Source organism: Homo sapiens, chromosome 13, assembly GCF_000001405.40.
Source record: "Homo sapiens chromosome 13, GRCh38.p14 Primary Assembly".
Classification (NCBI taxonomy): Eukaryota; Metazoa; Chordata; class Mammalia; order Primates; family Hominidae; genus Homo; species Homo sapiens.
Genome location: NC_000013.11, coordinates 112,514,678 through 112,528,240, shown reverse-complemented (window position 1 = coordinate 112,528,240; position 13,563 = coordinate 112,514,678). Strand labels below are relative to the sequence as shown.

The window sequence follows — 13,563 nt, the reverse complement described above, 5'->3', positions numbered from 1 at the left end:
AGGGTGTATGATTGAAAAATGAGAATGGCTGCATTGTTGTAGTGGCAAATAAACTGGAAGCAACAGCAATTGAATTTTCTCCTTACTGCTCAGTTTCCTTTCTAACGGCAGTGATGTAGGTGCCCGTCAGGGTCAGGGCAGGGGAGCTGCATGCCAGTGAGGAAGAAAGCTCCTGAGCACAGATGGTTCCTGGGGGAGCCACACAGGGGTCACTTCTACAGTGCCACCTGGCTGGTGCTGGCCCCTTGTACACATGGGTACATGTACAGCAAGGTCTGCCCATAGAGCTTGGGACTTGTCTGTGAACAGAGGACGCCGGCCTGGGCACCTCTGTGTTCCAGGCTTTGGGGCTTTGCAAAAGAGAGACTGCAAGGGCAGGCAGACTGATGGGAGGAGACACACAGCTGCTGCCTGTGAGGGAGGGGAACCCCAAAAGCCTGCACCGTTACTGAGGAAGAGCTCCGTGTGGCCCAGGAAGCCTCAGTATTATGCTGCAGAGGCACTAATGGACATTCTGAATCTCCAAGGAAGACATAACTTGTTTTTGTTATACTTTAGTTTTAAAAGTTTAGGAAATACATAGTTCAATTTAGAGAGATTTCTGTGTTTCATACAAGTTTTATTGTATAAATAGGTAAGACTCCCTGTGTCTGGAGAACTTGGCTTTCTAGAATAACTTACTCTTTGATGTTGCTGTTGGTTAATATTTTGCCATAAATATCACTCTTGAACATTTCCATGCCCCTTTGCTTTCAGTTTTTTGTAGCATCAGATCCAACAGTTAAAACAGATCGACTGTGGCACGACAAGTATACTTTGAGGAAATCGATGATTCCTTCGTTTATGACGATGGATCAGTCTAGGAAGGTAGGATTAGAAGAGATTTTTGTGATTTTGATGTTTTATGGCTATGTATACTTAGATTATGTGACAAAACCAATTTTCAGTTAAAATTTCATGCGTTTTGAGATTGTTAACGTTCTGGAGATGAAGTAAGTGCATGTTAATTGAATACATCAGTATAGTATGTGTTCAATATATCTTTGAGTTACTAGAATTCGCTCCATACTGTAGCAGATGCTCTTGTTAGTTTTCAATCAATAGCCAATTTGTAGCTTACGAATATTTGTAGATTTGGGCAGTCGTTTTAAATTTACATAAAAGTAATCATAGAATGTTTTTCTTTTTAGGTCCTTTTGATAGGAAAATCAATAAATTTCTTGCACCAAGTTTGTCATGATCAGACTCCCACTACAAAGATGATAGCTGTGACCAAGTCTGCAGAGTCACCCCAGGACGGTATGATGATGCTGGTGGGGTGGTGATGATGGCAATGGTGTGATGTTGATGATGATGTGAGGATGGTGATACTCATGGTAACAGTGATGTTGATGACGTAGTGATTGTGATGGTGTGATGATGGGGATGATGGTGATGTGATGATAATGATGTTGGGGATGGGTGGTGATGATGGCGATGATGAATGCGTGGTGGTGGCAGTGATGGTGGTGATGATGTTGATGGTGATGATGATGGGGGTAATGATGGTGGTGTGATGATGGTGATGTGATGATGTTGGGGATGGATGATGGGGATGTGATGATGGTGTGCTGGTGGTAGTGATGATGGTGATGATGATGATGGTGATGATGTGGTGATGGTGTGATTATGGTGATGTGATGATGTTGGGGATGGGTGGTGATGATGGCATGGTGGTGGCAGTGATGGTGGTGATGTTGATGGTGATGATGGTGATGGTGTGATGATAGTGATAATGATGGGGATGGGTGGCGACGGTGATGATGGCGTGGTAGCGGCAGTGATGGTGGTGATGATGTTGATGGTGATGATGGTGGTAATGATGGTGATGGTGTGATGATAGTGATGATGGGGATGGGTGGTGATGACAGCGATGATGATGGCATGGTGGTGGCAGTGATGGTGTTGATGATGTTGATGGTGATGATGGTGGTGATGATGGTGATGGTGTAATGATAGTGATAATGATGGGGATGGGTGGTGATGATGGTGGTGATGATGGCGTGGTGGTGGCAGTGATGGTGGTGATGATAGTGATGGTGATGATGGTGGTAATGATGATGGTGATGTGATGATAGTAATGACAATGATAATTGTGATGGATGGTGATAGTAATGATATGATGATGGTGATAGCGGTGATGATAGTGGAGGTGATGATGATGTGCTGATATTACAGATTACTTAAAAGTATTTTTTGTACCATAGGATTTATAGATTATTAGAATTACTCTCTGATACACCTTAATACATAGTATTATGTATGTATATATATAGTACTGTGTAAATTTTTAATTTCCTTTTTATACAGTTATACAGTAAGTGTTGGAATAGGTATAGCTGTTTTAAAATGATAAAGTGGCAGTGTGCCAAAATAAGAAATAACAGAAAAAATATTGCTAATGGTAGCCTATTCTTTGGGATGCAAAGGCTTTGTTTGGAGAAGAGCCAGGACTTATTGCACTTATTGTGTTTATTGCATTCAGAATGTCGCATGAGCGTTCAGCCTGTGGGAAGTGCTGAGGCTTTCCCTCGTTCTCTTCCTTTTCCCCATTTGCCGCCTGCCCCACCCTCAGTAATTTCATGATGTTTTGTGTATGGCTAACTTATATTTATAGCTCTCCAGTTTTGGCTGTATTTGCTATTTATATTGTCATGGTTCATTCAAAAGATTTACTTTGCGTAGGACACTGTGGTAGCTACAGGAAAGAGACAATGACTTCACCATGACTGTTCCTTTCATGAGCTTATTAGTCTGGTCTTGGAGAGGAGATGTGTAGTAAAATAACCAGTAGTCAGTAATAAAGGTGAAAGTGATCAGGGACGTGAGATGTGCAGGTGAAGCGCTTTGGGTATTTTCAGGCAAGGCTCAACAGGAAGGCTTTGGAAAGAGGCAGGAATTGCACTGGCCATGGAGAAGGAGGAGAATTTGGTTGTGGGTTATTGCGCAGCCCAGGACAAAGGAATAATGTGCATGGAAGTGCAGAAGAGAAATAGGACGAATTAGACTTATCTAAAGATTGTAGTGAAAATAAAAAGTTATTATTTAATAATGTGACAGACTAAAGAGAGACAGACTAGGACCTCATGTAGGAAGCAGGATAGGTTACTGGGTATGGTTTTAGCTACAGGTGTTACTGGAATGACAGATGTTCTCTTAACAGGACTTGGCTCTCTGGACAGGAGGGCTGGGGATCAGGAAGAGTCAGTGATGGCACTAGAACTCTGAGCTCGTGAGGCCAAGTCGGAAGGGCAGCAGGGGATTTCGGGAGAGCATAGCACTGAGAGAGGAATGTCATTTCGGGCAATTTGGTTTTCAGTAGCTGAGAGGACTTACTAGTGGAAGCTTCCAGCATGTATTGGAAATGCTATACTGAAACTCTGGTTAAAAGTCAGGGCCGAATATAGAGATTTTGGAAGCACTTATCTCACCATGGTAACTCAGGACAAGGCAGGATGGTGTAGCAAGAGCTCCCGTGTGGTCCAGGGGAGACACCCTTTCCAGGCATGTGAGAGCCATGGGCCCTCTCACCCTAAAGCATTCAGACATAATTTTACATGTATTTTTTTGTGGGGGGGTACATAGACCCCAGATTGTTCCTGGAATAGAGATAGATGTGATCCAATATAGATTTTGGGGAAATGCTTCTACACTGAAGAGGTGGAAGGAAGAAGAACCAGGAGAGCAGTTGTGTTCGAGTTGTGACCTTTCATAGTTCCTAGAGAAGGCGGCGCACACATGGGCTGTGCCTGGGACAGGGCGTCCCCATGCGCCTGCTGTGCCGGAGGCTCTCCATGAAGGTTGCTGCTGCTTGTGTGAGCACCGCGTCTGCTGTGCTGCTGGCGGCCCCTGTACCCACCGCCCCACATCTGCAGATTCAATCAACTGAGGATCAAAAACACTTAAAAAAAGGCAGCCACTAAAAAAATACACAAAAAACCAAGACAATTTAACAGCTATTTGCATAGCATGTACATTGCGCTAGATATTATAAGTAATTTAGAGATGATTTACCGTATATGGGAAGATGTGTGTAGGTTAGGTGCAAATATTGCTTCATTTTGTAGAAGAGACTTGAGCATCAGGGAATTTTGGTGTCTGTGGGGGTCGTGGGATTGGTCCCCTGCAGATGCTGAGGGTGACGGGGCGCTGCTGCTGCTGACGCTGCTGCTTCTCTGTGACGACTCCTGTGGTCCCCGTCGTCCTGTCCATGGCTGCCAGGGTCTGCGGAGAGCAAAGTTTCTGCTGTTGAGTATTTATAGTATAACTGGGAAGACAGAAGATGCAAATCCTAAAAGACTCCTAGTAATGGTCAAAAAACAGGAGAACATGTCAAATTCATTTTTATCTGTGAAAAAGTTATGAAGATTTAAAAGTGTGAATAAAGAATAAATAGTGAAAATTTAAAAACTGAGCACGAGAGATGCCTCAACCCTGAAGGAGCAAAGAGAGTTCCGAGGAGGCTCTGGGTTCTGTGTCTTCATAGGCTGCTTTGGGCTAAGACTGATTCAAACCTTCTCTTTGGAATGAAAATTTTTAATGACTCAAACAAGGGTGTAATGAAAACATTTCTAGAGAAAAATCTTTATGTCATTAAAACTACGTAGATCAATGGAAATAGAACCCCATGCCCTTAAAACAGGACTGTGGTGAGCTCATCAAGGGGTTCCGTGGTGTCGTGACTCCAGGCAGACCTCACTCATCCTCAGATAACTACAGTTTCTTCACTGGGAGCATCTTAGTTGTTTGCTACTAGTGTGAAATTGGAATAATAGCAACACTAAAATAGGCCTGTCTTAACTGCTTTCTTATTCGGAAGGACAAACAAATCTTAAGAGTCTTCTGGTATATTTAAACTGGGTAACTCAGATAGTGGAAAGAGACTTAAACTCTGAATCAGAAGATCTCGCCTTTCTTGTCCTTGCTTAGTCTTCAGCTAGCGTTTTGCCTCCTTCTCTCAGTCTGAGGTTGTTCCTCCCACTGGGGTTATTGTCTAGCTTAAGTATTATTGTGGGTTTAATGAAATGAAGTATTCATATAAGTTTTAAAAATGGTTTTGTGCTTTGCAGATGTAAATCAGCACTGTAAGAAGCTCTGTTATGTGTATAGTCTCCACCTGCAATTTCTTCTCAATAGAAAGCTATGGAAATGCTTTCTTCCGCTATGTTACTGCTTAGAGTCAGGCGTCTTTATTGGTGACAATCTGGTTTTGTCCCCTAGACATCTCCACCAATCTCCGTAGAGTTCACTCTATGGTGCATGATACTACTACTCAACTTTTGCGAGTTGTACAATTCACAAAGCTTATTTGCATGTGCTGTTTTGGTCTTAAGACTAATTTATGGAAACATCTTATGGGTATGGACGGGTGACTCAGCACTGACTTGCCCTATTACCAGTGTGTTTTGGTGAGATTTACGGTTAGTTACAGTGTATTAAGGGATTTGGAAATCATGAAGACACACATGTAGGTGTCTGCTGTGAACCCAGCTGGCAGAATTGTTTTCATGTGTGTGGTCTTAGGGCTCTGGTCTCCTTTGTGGAATGTCCAGCTGTCTGTGCCTGCGGTCAGTCTGTTACTGATGCCACAGGCAGTGGTTGGCCCTGAGTCTGGATGTATGTGCCTTCATTTCTCCTCTGTGGAAATACAAATTACATATGCATGTGTGCTCTTCCCTGTTGTTCTTTACAGCTGCAGACCTATTCACAGACTTGGAAAATGCATTTCAGGGGAAGATTGATGCTGCTTATTTTGAGACCAGCAAATACCTGTTGGATGTTCTCAATAAAAAGTACAGCTTGCTGGACCACATGCAGGCAATGAGGCGGTACCTGCTTCTTGGTCAAGGAGACTTTATAAGGCACTTAATGGACTTGCTAAAGTAAGGCACTATTTTGATTTCTATAAATAAGTAATATATTTGACATGATAAGGAATCTTGTATTTAAAAGAATAAATTATATTAAAAGAAAATGAGTTGAATTCTTCGAGCATACTTTTTAAAATAAAATCTGAAAAGAATGTAAAATTTTCAAAAGGTAAAGCCCCTTCATTTTTCTCTGGTTATCAGCAGAGCATCATTGTCATGTTCTGTGCTTTATTCATAAGAGAAACTGGCATTTCTTTCCAAAACTGTGGGGCTTACAGTCTTCATGTATGAGGAGTTGGTCAAATCACACTTAACTTTAGCTTGAGTTTGAAATAAAGCTGAAAAATAAAATATATATTTTAAAGTTGAATTTTACTTTTATATTTGTAGTTAATGTTCACCTAAAAATGAAACTATGACCTTTTCATTTTGCTCCCTGACATTTCTCATGGCATCTTCCCTTCCAGAGTTAAATGTATGTCCTTCTCCACAAGTTCTGGACCAGAGCCTGCTGTGCTTCTAGGTCTAGAGACAGTGCAGACCCCGGCCCAGGCAGCGTGAGCCTGGGCATGAGCATCCCAGGGGTCCACAGCCTGGGCCTGGAGATTTTCACCCAAGTGTTTAGAAGAATGAAACTTCTTTTCTGGTGTTCCTTTTAGGACACTTAAAGTAAGATAAATGTTCCCTTTAAGACACAAAATAGTAACTTACCTTTAAACCCTGCCAGTGCTCCCCAAGCAATTGTTTTAGGCCTCAGGTCCTCAAGTTTCAGTGTATCACAGACTAGAAAGCTTGCTGCAGTAGCTTGTGGGCCCACTTCAGAGAATGAGATTCTCAGGTGTGGGGTAGAGGATTTGCATTTCCAGCCAGTTCCAGCTGCTGGTGATGCTGCGTTTGTGGGGACTACACATTGAGAAGCACTGTTTGAGACATGCAGGCTCTTACATCCTACCTTCTAGCCAGAAGCCAGTCTCCCGTGTGAAAACTCATGTGGCTTTTTGAGGCGTACACAGCCATAGCTGGCTTGTGACATGCTCATGCCTTAGTCATAGCTGATGCCTGCTAACACATTTGTAAGAAAAGAAAGTTCACTAGTACAGTAAATGCTGGTTGTGATGAGGTCAACACCTGTTTGAAGTATGAGTGGTGATGAGCTTTTAAAGGGGAAATGTTCTCTAATGCCATGGGGGCATGGGGTGTGTATGTGGGTCAGTTGGTGCAGATGGAGATGAGGAGCCAAAGTGAGGTTTGGAGGACACTGATGGTGTCATAGGTCACATCATAGAGCCGGCTGAACGCATTCGCCTTGTGCCCAATCTTAATGTTGAAAGTATCACATGCGTGCTATAAAATGAAAAATTCATTTCTCCTCAATGTCGTATTTTAAGTTCCTAGTTTTTAGGTTTATTTGACGTTGTGTGTCTTTTTCACCTTGTCTCTGCCCTGTGTTTTGTAGAGCTTACACGTCTACCTGAGTTGATTAGTGGTGTTCCTAACTTGGTCACCCCCGATTAGAGACGTGTTAGCTTCATATTTATAAAAGCAGATATCAGTAACCCTCAAGAAATGCTTGCTGAAAGTGTAGTGTTTCTTGGCCCTTTAGAATCATGACATCCATGTACCTAATTGCTTTGATTTGATGGAGGCCTCTCCTCTTCCCATTGGGTCTAAAAGGAAATTATATCAGCTCATGCTACTCATAGGCCAGTCTGAAGTTTGAAAACTTTGTTAACATGTATAGCACATTTAAGTACTTTCAATTTAAGCTGAATCAAAATCAGTTCTTTTTTTTTCTTTTTTTTGAGATGGAGTCTCGCTCTGTCTGTCACCCAGGCAGTGTAGTGGCACGATCTTGGCTCACTGCAACCTCTGCTTCCTGGGTTCAAGCGATTCTCCTGCCTCAGCCTCCAAAGTAGCTGGGATTACAGGTGCCCGCCACCATGCTGGGCTAATTTTTGTATTTTTAGTAGAGATAGGATTTCACTATGTTGGCCAGGCTGGTCTCAAACTCCTGACCTCAGGTGATCCTCCCACCTTGGCCTCCCAAAGTGCTGGGATTACAAGCTTGAGCAAATGTTCCTGGCCAAAATCAGTATTTTTCAGATTTTAAAGAAATGTAACTCCACAATAATTAGTAAGCCCTGTTTGCAGTTAATGCTCTGAAGCTTTTGTTGCCGCATTATTGTATTGGTCCCATTTGTCTTTTGAGTTTTTATAATTTGAACTCTTACTTTTAATAGTTTATACGTTTTTTAAAGTTCATTAAGAATTGAAGTAATATTTTCTTTAATTTTTAAAAAATTTGTTAAGACCAGAACTTGTCCGTCCAGCTACGACTTTGTATCAGCATAACTTGACTGGAATTCTAGAAACCGCTGTCAGAGCCACCAACGCACAGTTTGACAGTCCTGAGATCCTGCGAAGGCTGGACGTGCGGCTGCTGGAGGTACTGCGGCTCTGCGTGTTGGGAACGCCGCCCCGGCACCGAGGACCCACTGGGCCGGGGTGTTCTAGCGAGTGTTTTCCATGTTGTTTCAGGCACAGCTAGCCGTTATCTTTCTGGAAACTGGGCAGCCTGAGTAGGAACTCCACTCTGTGGCTTGTTACTGCCTGGTCAGCACATCTGCTCCCTCTCCACCATCTGGGTTTCCGTTTGCCCATCTTGCAGCGGGGAGCCTTGCAGGGCTGCTAGGCTTAAGCTGGAGAAAACGCATGACACCCTTGCCCTGTGCTGGGCAGCATATCACAGATGCTTAGAAAATGGTGCTTTCTTCTCATAGTAAATCCAACAGGAGCACAAGACATGGTGTACGATGGTATTTATCAGAAAATGGATGCTTTTAGTTGCAGTTTGGTAGGACATGACTTTTCTTAAGGGTGTGGTTATTATGAACATAAACCCACTATTTACTTAGTTGTGATGGAAGATCATTAGCAGAACGGTTGGTTTTCTTAAAATATTGCAAGAGTCATCTTGGAATAAAAAGATTTGGAACATATTTAGAGGCAGTGGGTTTTCGTCGTAAGCAAATGGTGATGAATTTTAAACGCATAGTCACAATATTCATTCAGAAATACACCATGCATTGCCAGATGTTTGCAGAGCACCTACTGTGTGCTCATTATTGCCTAATTGGTGAGGTTGTAGAAGTTAACAAGAAGATGCACTCAGAACTGTTGAGCAGTTTTTAACAATTGGGCATTATTTTACTGCTTTTTCTTTGCGTTAACAAGTTCTTCAGCAAGAAGCTTAAGGTCTTGCAATTATGTGTTTGTTTCTGTTGTTAGGTCTCTCCAGGTGACACTGGATGGGATGTCTTCAGCCTCGATTATCATGTTGACGGACCAATTGCAACTGTAAGATTATCCTGCATCATTTTATAGTATTTACAACTATTAAGATTGTTAAACATTTTGTTTGAAATTGGCTTTCTTCTCTGGGGACTTCTAATTCAAGTGATCACTCGACATCTAAGATCTACTCATTGAATGAATACTTAAGCCAAAATTGTGTGTGTGTTTTAAATGATTATTAATGAGTACTGAAATGCTCTATTATTTTAAAAATTCTTAAAAATATCATTTGTTCTATCATAGGTTTCAGCAACTCCTTAATAAATGGACTGTTCATTTTCTTCCATTATTCTTATACTGTGGCAACTAGTTAAGGATAATGTGAAAGGAACTATAAAGTGTATTTTAGGGGAATCATATTTTTACTACTTAGATAAAATTTGGTATTTAGTATTCATTTAAACCGATGAGGAAGCAGCTGTACTTTGTTCATAGTGCTTTTACCTACATAACAGTTACCACATTATAAAAGGCTGACCAGGAAAGCTGTCTTTTTACATGTCTGCAATTAAAATGCCTCTTTTTAGTGCGCATTTTTAAAGTATTCAGACTTGAATAAATTTCCTTGACCAAGATACCCTCTAAACTTACTTCAGTCATTTTTATATCTGAAATACTGAAGAAGGACATTGCATTTCTTTGAGGTATTGGGAAAAGTATTCTGTTGAGAAGGAATATAGTTGGGCTCTAAAATTTCTTCTCAGTGGTTCTGGTAGAGCCTGCTTCGTGCTGTTTTCCCGCCTCTCAGGGTGCATATCACGCTGCTGCAATAATTGCATCAGGGCACACTCACCCTCTTTCCTCTTGGGGGTAAGAAACCTGCCACTGGTAAGTGTGTCTCTCCTGTCTACAGTGAGATGGGAACTGCTGGTGCAATTTCCTTTTTACACATAAATTCCTGGTGTGTAACCTTTATTGATCAAAGCTACTATATTTTAAGTGTATAACTTCTCTTAAATTTAATTTCTCATCATATTCAAATTAGCTTTTTCTCTTTTGACTTATATCCTAAACAATTTAAAATAGTTACAATGCAAAAAGCAGTGTGATATTTTAACAAATTATTTATTTATTTAATTTATTTTTGACACAGAGTCTCACTCTGTCACCAAGGCTGGGAGTGCAGTGGTACAATCTTGGGTCACTGCAACCTTCACCTCTGAGATTCAAGCGATTCTCCTGCCTCACCCTCCCAAGTAGCTAGGATTACAGGCACAAGCCACCATGTCTGGCTAATTTTTGTATTTTTAGTAGAGATGGGGTTTCACCATATTGGCCAGGCTGGTCTCAAACTCCTGACCTCAGGTGATCCACCTGCCTCCCTCCCAAAGTGCTGGGATTATAGGCATGAGCCACCGTGCCCGGCCTTAACAAATTATTTAAATTAGCAACTTTCATATCTCCTGCCTTGTTAATTTGCATACATTACGTATTATTTTCATAGCATAAAAGATACCATAGTACAGATAATTGCATCGATTATTTCACAGAGTCTGAGTGCCTTGACAAATAGGTAAACTGAACATTGCCTAGATAAGAGATAATTAATTATTTCGTAGTATTACAGATCTCATTAAGAGTGTCAAAGTTGTCATGCCATGTACATAAACAATTGCTAATGCAATAATGTTGAATGTTTAGGTCTGTAAAGCTCTACTTTAGTAGAAGGACTCGAGGAAAAAAGTTTATATCATAGATTTATTTAAAAAAGGCAAATCTATCACTCGAGGCCAGGAGTTCGAGACCAGCCTGGCTAACATGGCAAAAACACACCTCTCCTAAAAAATATAAAAATTAGCTGGGCATGGTGGCACACACCTGTAATTATGGCTACTCAGGAGGCTGAGGCATGAGAATCCCTTCAGCCCAGGAGGCGGAGGTTGCAGTGAGCTGAGTTCTCACCACTACACTCCAGCCTGGGTGACGGAGTGAGACTCTTATCTCAAAACAAACAAACAAACAAAAAAACAAAATAAAAGTAAATGGGTGAAAATAACCTGAAGGATTCTTTTCAGACGGGAGATTCTTCTAGGCCTACCTTCCATGAGATTCACCACCCTTAGGAGCTACTGTTACAGAAGAAAGTGCACCCCTGCCTCACGGATCCCTCAGGCGGGTTGGGGGGAGTTGTAGTGAAGAGTCCACATTTTAGACTAGGTTTAGACTAGTCTAAAATGGATTGAAAATCCTAATAAACTGCAAGCTGTGTAACATTAGGCCTCTGTTTCCCCATCTGTACAACTGGCATAAAAATGCCTGCCTTCTGTTACTGTGACTTTACTTAGCATGCTGCCTATTATGATAGTTTGCTAAAATGTACCTTTTTAAAAAAAGATTGAGACCTGTACTGAGAGGATTCTTACGTGGGAATACTATCAACTTGTCTTCTGCTGTTATCCCAGGTGTTTACTCGAGAATGTATGAGCCACTACCTAAGAGTATTTAACTTCCTCTGGAGGGCGAAGCGGATGGAATACATCCTCACTGACATACGGAAGGGACACATGTGCAATGCAAAGCTCCTGAGAAACATGCCAGGTGAGCCCCCAGCACGGTCACGGGTCCGCACACACTCCCAGCGGCCTCCAGCCCCCACTGGGTGCGGTTTCCAGCAACTCCGCAGAAGTTAAGGTAGACTCACGGTGACAGCTATATATTTTTTTCAGATGGCGAACTTTCTTTTAAAATCACATTTATTTTTTATTCTAATGTTCATATATATACTTTTTAAAAATTGCCTATTTTTAAGGAAAACAGTTTAATAAATCACTGACTCATTTAAAATCCATACAGTGTTTTAACTAAATTGTTTTTGAGAATTTCTTTAATGTTTTGTTTTGTCCATAAACCAGAACATGAGAATATATTATTTAAAACAATCTAAAACTATAGTAAAAATTCTTAGGTATCAGATAGTCAAGATTATTTTAATGTTATAAACATTGAATGACTTAAATTACAAGTAATTTTGAAGTCTTTATATAAAATTGATTTGGTCAGAACCTTTGAGAAAGTATTTCAGTAGGTATGTCTCTAAGGAAGAACTAAATGGTATATGCCTTTAATCCTTTGGTGAAAAGTAATTGTTAAGAATAAAAAGAGAGCAGTTGTTTGGAGAAAGCAGTTCATGATCTCTGCTTCTTTACCAGCTCACAGGCTGGTCCCTGAGCAGCTACCAGAGATCCAGAATAGTGACCCCTGCCGAAGGCTGTGGGGCAGGGAGTTCCCTGTCTGAGCCAACACTGACATGTAGAATTGTCGGTTTTTATTGGGTGTTGATATTTGACTATAGTGGGAAGTGAATGGTAGGAATCCTCTGAATTAGCTGAGAGGGAAGCAAAGGGGAGATTTTCTTTTAAAGGCAGTGATGGCTGCGGGCAGGGTACCCTTCTTATGAATGTGCTGCCACTGGACGGGAGGCGGGAGGAGGGCCGTGCTGAGAGGGCTGCATGCACGCCTGGGGCTCTGCGGGTCTCCTTTCTCCATGGTTTCACACCGTCCTTCTCGCCACTGTTGCGGATTCCCTTGCTCACAGTTGCTTTAACTGGATGTGTACTTGCCTGCACTTCTCCTTCCCCCTGTGTTCTTATGAATACCACCAGGTAGATCGGTTCCTGGCTGCCCCCTTCACGAGGCAGCATCTTTCTTGTAGTGGATTTAGACCAATTCAAGGCCAAACCGATGCTGTCATTGTCACACGTCAAAATAAGCCTCTGTGAAGGCTGAGCTCCATTATCAACTTGAAATATGGGCTGGTTGCGATATAGTTTTCTGATCTGATTATCAGTTTAGCAACGTCTGTATCAATTTGCTCTTCTCTTATTGTATTGAATATCAATAATGAGTTTTGTTTTCTAGTTGGAGATAACTAATAAATTTTTTGATCAGTTTTCTATGTATGGGAAAATGCATATTTTATTATTTATAAAATTTATTTATATCGCTAGGATCCTGCTTCACAGAGTTTGACTCCAGCTTCTTCTGCTGATCCTTCCCCCTCGCTATTGAAACTTTTTCTGAACCATTTTTAATAGCACGATATTACCTCATGTACATATGATTTCATCATTTCTCTTTGCCTGGACATGTAGTTTTTTCCTCCAATTTTTTGCCGATATAAATAATGCCATGCATGTTTTTATAAATACAACTTTATATGCCTCTGAATATTTCTTGAGAATAGATAGAAGTGGAACTGCTTGCTTAACAGTTTGAATTTTAGTTTGACTGTTTACTTACTAAGTATTCATATTTTAACTCTATTGATATTATCAGATCACTTTTTGGGAAAAGTGTACCA

At 41.2% G+C, this 13,563-nt stretch overlaps 1 protein-coding gene across 11 annotated transcripts in view; it reads left to right on the top strand.

Annotated features, from left to right (window-relative positions):
- TUBGCP3 (tubulin gamma complex component 3) overlaps positions 1 to 13,563 on the top strand; it is a 120,620-nt gene that overhangs the window by 77,390 nt on the left and 29,667 nt on the right. For 10 of the 11 annotated variants that reach the window (XM_017020323.3, NM_001286277.2, XM_011537462.3 and 7 more), the window contains 6 exons: positions 757 to 867; positions 1,191 to 1,299; positions 5,732 to 5,921; positions 8,220 to 8,355; positions 9,198 to 9,266; positions 11,666 to 11,801. In XM_017020323.3, the coding sequence (XP_016875812.1) occupies positions 757 to 867; positions 1,191 to 1,299; positions 5,732 to 5,921; positions 8,220 to 8,355; positions 9,198 to 9,266; positions 11,666 to 11,801 (751 nt within the window). Of the gene's footprint in view, positions 1 to 756; positions 868 to 1,190; positions 1,300 to 5,731; positions 5,922 to 6,376; positions 6,579 to 8,219; positions 8,356 to 9,197; positions 9,267 to 11,665; positions 11,802 to 13,563 lie in introns of those variants that run through there. The other variant, XR_007063655.1, reaches the window with a different exon arrangement.